This window comes from Homo sapiens, chromosome 5 (genome assembly GCF_000001405.40).
Source record: "Homo sapiens chromosome 5, GRCh38.p14 Primary Assembly".
Taxonomy (NCBI): domain Eukaryota; kingdom Metazoa; phylum Chordata; class Mammalia; order Primates; family Hominidae; genus Homo; species Homo sapiens.
In genome coordinates, this window is record NC_000005.10 from 59,033,039 (window position 1) to 59,039,765 (window position 6,727).

At 39.6% G+C, this 6,727-nt stretch overlaps 1 protein-coding gene across 27 annotated transcripts in view, besides 1 other annotated feature; it reads right to left on the reverse strand.

Annotated features, from left to right (window-relative positions):
• The window catches only part of PDE4D (phosphodiesterase 4D), a 1,553,091-nt gene that overhangs the window by 64,001 nt on the left and 1,482,363 nt on the right, over positions 1-6,727 (reverse strand). For 25 of the 27 annotated variants that reach the window (XM_024446112.2, XM_024446110.2, NM_001364599.1 and 22 more), the window contains one exon: positions 5,821-5,933. In XM_024446112.2, the coding sequence (XP_024301880.1) occupies positions 5,821-5,933 (113 nt within the window). Of the gene's footprint in view, positions 1-5,820; positions 6,439-6,727 lie in introns of those variants that run through there. The other 2 variants (NM_001197221.2, NM_001197222.2) reach the window with 2 other exon arrangements.
• Positions 6,097-6,166: a silencer, noted in NCBI's record as "silent region_16036". NCBI's record gives its function as "represses an Ori minimal core promoter by ATAC-STARR-seq in GM12878 lymphoblastoid cells {active_cell/tissue: GM12878}" and the evidence as "EXISTENCE:reporter gene assay evidence [ECO:0000049][PMID:35858748]".

Below are 6,727 nucleotides of genomic sequence, written 5' to 3' on the forward strand. Positions count from 1 at the left end.
CATTCATCCTTATCACATACAAAGTATAACAAAACAAAAACAAGAAGCTCTGAATACTAAATAATAATAATAAATACTTTATAAAAGATAAACTATTCTCTAAGAGTAAAAGATAATAAACCTATTGTCATTGTAGTTGGTCACTGAACTTAACTAATTTCCTAATGGACGCAGCAGAATTGTTTGTTGTTTAAGCAAATATCAAGGCATACCCCCCAATCCCTGTTACAGGGAATAAAAAAAGTCTTCTTCAAATGCCTTTCAAAACTAATGTGAATATTAAAATAAAGTGCTACTGATCTCTCTACATTCTAGAAAGATCTCAGACTAACAGTGTCAATTAAACTATTACAACAAATAGCCATGTAAAAACTGCTCCCCTACTAGAGCTACGCTATCACAAAATTAACCCCAGCAATCTACAGTTCTAGAAAAAGAGTTGGTCCCTCCTGCTGAAAAAGAGAAAACCAAACCCTACATATTTTGTGAATCCACTGAAAATAATGACATAAACAGCACTGCACATCCATCATGTATTTATATCTTAAGTGATAGCTACAGTCTATGTAACTATCGCAGAAATCTTCTTAAACTGAACAAAAGCATTATCTATCATCCTTTCTCTCTAGAAAAATACCAGTTTGTTTAATCTACCCATAACATTAGAAAAAATACTTCTTTTATCATGGGCAATCCTTATGTTTCGGAATTTTTTTCGAAAACGTAGACAGTTCATAATGCTCTCAGACAGAAGTTACCACTACTACCCCAAATATTAAGTCAAAATGTAACTGAAAAAAAGAAATTTATCTAGTAATGATTAATTTATTGAATAATTAAAAATTAGGAGTTTTTGATAATTAAATGTTGGGAATAATTAAACTTTCACTAAATACTGGCACAGGAACTGAACGGATGACAACAGAGACAAGTTAAGATTTGTTTTAATCCTAAGTTTTATGCTAAGGTAACATCAAGGGCTCTACTTTTCAGTGAAAGAAAAATTTCCTTTAAAATTGTTTCCCTCTTCCATTATTACTTAAAAGCAAAGAAAGTATTTTTTCTAACAGTGATTATAGGATTCTCAATCTTTCATATTAACTTTAAGGTACTACATGTAAGCTACATAAATCTTTCCCAAATCTACCTTTATTGAGTAGATGAAAAAGCAGATATCGAACTCAAAACATCTAAATGTTGATTTTCTATAATTATAGAAGATATTTTCTTTTGAAATTTAAAGTTTGTATTTAGGCATATTAACACTTTTTTAATCTAAGATTTAATATGTTAATGTAGAAAACAACTGAGGCTGTTTTCTCTCTATAAAACTAACATGCCTTTTCCAATTAACTTAGTTTCCTTCTTAGCAAAAGTTTAACATTTATATCTGTTGAGTTACACTGTAGTTGCATAATGTGGAAATATCTTAAGATTTAGCCACTTCTATGAAGATCCTATATTTGTTATAACACCCCTCTTGCCCAGAAGAAAATACATCAACAAAAAGTCCTACTATATGTTCTGCATTGACTATTACAAAGCAGTAGGGGGAGCAGCCAGAGAAAGCTCTGAGACAAAGCACCCAGCAAAGCAATTTAATTTATAGGCAACAGAAACATGCTAGAGAGGTTTGCCAAAAGCCAAATACACAAAATAAATTCCATAAAGAAGTCATGACCACATTTGTAAAGCTGGCCTAAGTATATTTGGAATGAAGTATAGAAAAATCTGAAGTCTCTTAGAAAGGGTCTGGATTCTAACTTCAAGACAGACTTTCAGCTTGAAACACAGTCATTTCCAGCCATGCCAAACCTCAAACTGCCCCCAAAATTAGAGCAGAAACAAAATACATTTTTATAGTGATATGTCTTGGGAATAACTCAAAATGATTTCGTTTTCTCCTTTGAACCTCACTGAACTTACAGGGAAGGCCTGGTGAAATGTGCATTATTAGGTCACAAGAGGATAACGTTACAGGGTTCCATAGCATAATCCTTGAAAGCCCTGAGGCCCAGGCCGCTGTCCTGCTCTCCTCTCTACTGACTCCCATCCTCAATATACTTTCCATGAGAGAAAGGTAACCAAAAACATGGTGAAACTATTCTGCTTAAAAGGTGTTTTACTGAAAAGGCACATTGACCACTAACCCTTATTACATTTCACATGTTCTAAAAATTAGTAAGGTCTGCATTTTCAGTTTTAGAGTAAAACAGGAAAAGTACTTAGTTAGCTCTTCTGTCTGGCATTCTGTAACTGGAATTTAAGAAAAGCCTAAACTTCTAATTAGAACTTCAGAATGTTCATGTCTGTATTATACCACAAAAACTGTAAATATAATTTAAGCATTTTTATGATACAGAAATGTGCGCTATAGACAGTTATCTAAGAATTATAAAAATCCATCAAACTTGAAGTGTCTGGTATAAATTACAACCGAATGGTAAAAAGACATTTTAGCCACGTAGGCAACCAATGAAGTTTGACCTAAAACCCAAATAATAGCAATAACAACAGATACAGTGCCTACTATTGTCAGATACTATATTAGCTAGCTCTTTTGTATATATTCTTTGGAACTCTTACACTGACTTTTCAAGATAGTTATTATGGTGCCCATTGTATGCTAAGGAAACTGAAGCTAAAAAAAATTGAAGTCATTTCTCTAATGTAACTCCATTAGCAAGAAACAAAACCATAATTCAACTTCCAGGTTTGCCTGCCTCCAAAGCTTTGAGACCTCACTAAAATTACCCTCAATTGTAGCAATGAGGTTCCAAAGGAAATCTGTACAAATCTCAGGCAGATTAATGTGCTTATAAGGGTAAATGCCATAGATTTAATCACTCAAATTAAATGCCATCTGGAATCTCTTACCCTACTTGGTACAAGCATCCTACATGTGTTACAGCCAACCCTAGCCTTGGCCAAGAATTCAATAATTTTCCTGCTTCAATGCCATCAACAAGCAAGAAACATATATAATACCAATACAGGAAATACAGCTAGTTGCTCCTAGAGCATCATTTAAAAGCTGCTAATTGGCTAAGATGCCTTTTATTGAGAAGTCTAAGAAACAGAAATAATGTGTTAACCCAGTTTGTTAAATGGGTTTGAGGAATCAGTTTCCTCCTTCCTAATACCTAAATCCATCTCCATAATAAGTATTCTCTATCACCATTTAAAAATCCTGATCTCTTACTAGTGTTTTTATTGTGCTTTTCAATCTATTAGAGTAAATTTTTTAAAACCTCAAGAGAGAACACAGAAAACTGTCATAATTTTTCAAAGGCTAAAGGAGAATAAACTGAAAATATCAGTTTGAACACGTGTATGTAAAAAGAATGGATGGTAATAAAACTAACAACTGAAAAGCAATGTTTCTGACTCATTCATTCATACTCAAGAAATATCAAATAACTGAGTGGAGATGATGCAAGCTGTACACATTTCCAGTTCAGACTGAAGGTGTGGCAACACTCACAGGGGCCTTCCGATCAGCTGCTCCAACTCAGTTTACAGCTTTTGTGGATGTGGCTTATTCATGCCCTTGTTATGAAGAAGAAGGGTAACTTTACAACCTTTAGCAAGAGCTTTTTTTTCTTTCTGTGCTAACCCTTTTTTGTCTATAACAGTCATGTAAGCTTAGCACTGATTTAGAAATAAATAAGTTAAAGAAGACACGAATGGCTTGGACATTAAAAGTTTAAGCAACAGCTTAAGCTGAGCTAAGTTTAATGTTAAAAATTAGTGTGACAGCAATAATTTTTCAATTCAGCTCTGTCGTGGGCTAGGAAAAAATATCCTAATTTTTCAGCCACAAGACATAAACATTGCTAGAATGACTACATTTTGAAAAAATTATCTTCTCACTTTACCTAGATTTCATTTTAACCAAACAGACCAACCTCTCCTATTAAACCTGTAAATTAACTCAAAGTCTAATCTGGGGCCTTCATAATAAAGATTTTTTTTTTAAATCCCTGTCTTATCTGGTGCCTTTAAAAGAAAGGAATCATTTTAGGCAATTATTATGACCTAAAAAATTTTTAAATCTTAACGTATAGATTAATTCCTTGACAGCTGAAGTCATTTACAATACATTATTAAATTTCACATTCAGTTTTAAATCCAAACATAGATCTCAACATTAAGAATATGGATTTTAGGGAAAGTAACTAGCTGCTCAAATTCATTTAGCTGAAAAACTACTGTCGAATCACCTTGAAAATATACACTAATGCTTGCACATTGCTAAGTGGCTTTTGATTCTGCTCTTCATTTTCTTACACAGAATCAACCACACAATAGAATTAAGAACTCAGGCCCATGGCAAAGTGCTCCCATTTAGCAGTTAGGACACTGGACATATTCAGCATATGTCTACTGCTATTGAGAATCAAATTATGAAAACAAACTATATTTTATAAAACTAAGAATTTGTTACTCAGATGAGAATAAAGGTGCCTAATGCTACAGCAGGGGGTAAAAGTCCCAGTAAGAGAGCAATAATTGGTCATTCTGATGAGGAGCTGTGCCAAATTTAGAAATGAGGCACAAATGACAAAAAAATTGATCATCAGTGTGGACATGGGTAGGTCAGTGTGCATATGGGTAGGTTAGTATCTGCTGGCCGTGTCTACAGAGCCCCTTTTATTTATTTGAAGCCAACTTTTCACTTGACAATGCTACCTACAAAAGCACTGTTAATAGATAAGACAATCAAGTGGCTGTTATGCCGTGGCCTTTTTGTAAAAACTGCATGAGAACAGGTGGGATAAAAACCATAGAAAGGTAGAAAAAAAAAAGCATCACTCATTTAAAGATATGTGCACATAGATGAACTGTAAGATAATATAACCTTCTTGACCTTGTAAATAGGTGGCCAAAAATACTTAAATATCTTGACGAGGCAACTATTACTAATTGTCTCACAACATTACCAGTCCTTACTGGCTGAATCCTTCAGCCATCTGCATACGACATGCACAGGCAAATAGCCACTAAAAACATACACAATTCCAATTATCTCCTTGCATAACTAAAGACAAAAAGAACAGGAAATCCAAAAAATACAGCAAAACTGAAAACACTATACCTTGCCTTCCGTGCTATTTTAAGGCTGTCCCAGGCTGAAGGTTACTTCTCAGCCCTCAAAACTCCATTAACTGCCAAGACCAGCACCTTAGCACATATGGCACAGATGCCTAGTTGAAGCCTCCTTGTACTAAATGACCTCAAAAAACTGGGCTTTCTTTCCAAGATTAATGGAAACAAAAGTAATGATCATAAGGAACCTTCTAACTCTGTTAATGTTTCCTGCGGATATGTATGGCCAACTGAATATATAAAGGCTCAGTTCTTGCGGGGTACCCTGACAACTAGATGAATTAGGGTGAAGGTTCCAAGTTCGATGAACTCTTCTGAGTTTGAGTGCCCTAGGTGGTGACATTCAAGTGATTTCACAGACATCCACCAATTCTTATTTTCAACCGGGAATCCCAAGAACACCTTTAAACATGCAATGCCCATGGACCCTACTGGGTTTCTGCTGCAAGGGCTCAGTGTTACTTAGGAACCCTGTGTCTTGGGAGATACTTAAATTTAGCACGTCAAATTGCTTTTGGAAAATGTTTATCTGGCGTGACTAGGGGAGGCAAAGCAAGGAAACAGGAACCTCCCTCTAAGGAGCAGAATAGCCAACATGCAGTAAGCCTAAAAAACCTCTCAATTTATTTCCCGGGGCTATGGGTACCAGTGGCTCGCCGGCATGGGAATCAGCAGCCTGGGGGCACCAGTGACAGCAGAACCGGGGCTTACCTTGTTGGAGGCCATCTCACTGACGGAGTGCCTGGTCTGTAGGGTCTCTAGCTGGTCCAGACACCAGTCCAGCTCCTCCAGGGTCTCGCTGGCCAGTTTCTGGTAGGCCTCCTCTGCGAAGAGACAGGGAAAGGGGGACTCAGTTCTCAAGCGCTTCACGGGTCCGCTAGCGAGTTCAAAGGGGGCCATCCTGCCATACCCCGCCATGCTCGGATGCCCGGTGCCGGCACATGAGGGCTGCTCCTTCATATTGCCCAGCCCGGCAGTGCAACGGGGGCGGAGGCTGTGCTCGCGGGGCGGCCGGCCTCGGGGAGGCACGGTCTCTCCAGCTTGGCGTCTCGGGTCGGCCTCCAGGGAGGGCGTGCAAAGAGCGGCGAGCCAACTTTCACACAGCGACGCGAGCGGAAAAACCACTATGCGACTTTTCAACTGTGCGGCGGGCCCGAGTCCCAGTCCAGGAGCCCGGCTCTAGCGGATGGCGAGGGGGTGGCGAGCGCGCTTGGGTGCCCGCCCCGCAGAGGAGCGTCTGGTCCACAGCCGGATCTCCTCGGTCCCCAACCCGGAGCCGCGGCCCCACGCCCGCCCCGCCTGCCGAGCCTTCTGCACGGCACTTGAAGTGAATGAATCAGCCGCGGCCGGGTGCGCGGCCACCACGTTTCCTGTTTTCTTTCTCAACTCCTCGGGCGGCAGGCGCAGCGCGGCTCCAACGCCGCAGCTTTCCGGGAACACTCCCCCTCACGCCCCTCTCGGCCCTCGGCGCTGCCTGGCTCCTCCTCAACCCCCTTACGAAAAGATTCCGAATTGCAAAAGCCTGTCCCTGTCCGTGCCACCCGCCGCGTCCTTCCCCTCGAGCTCTGCCCCGGGGGCCCCGCCACCTCGCAGTGCCATCCCCCCGGCGCAGCCGGGC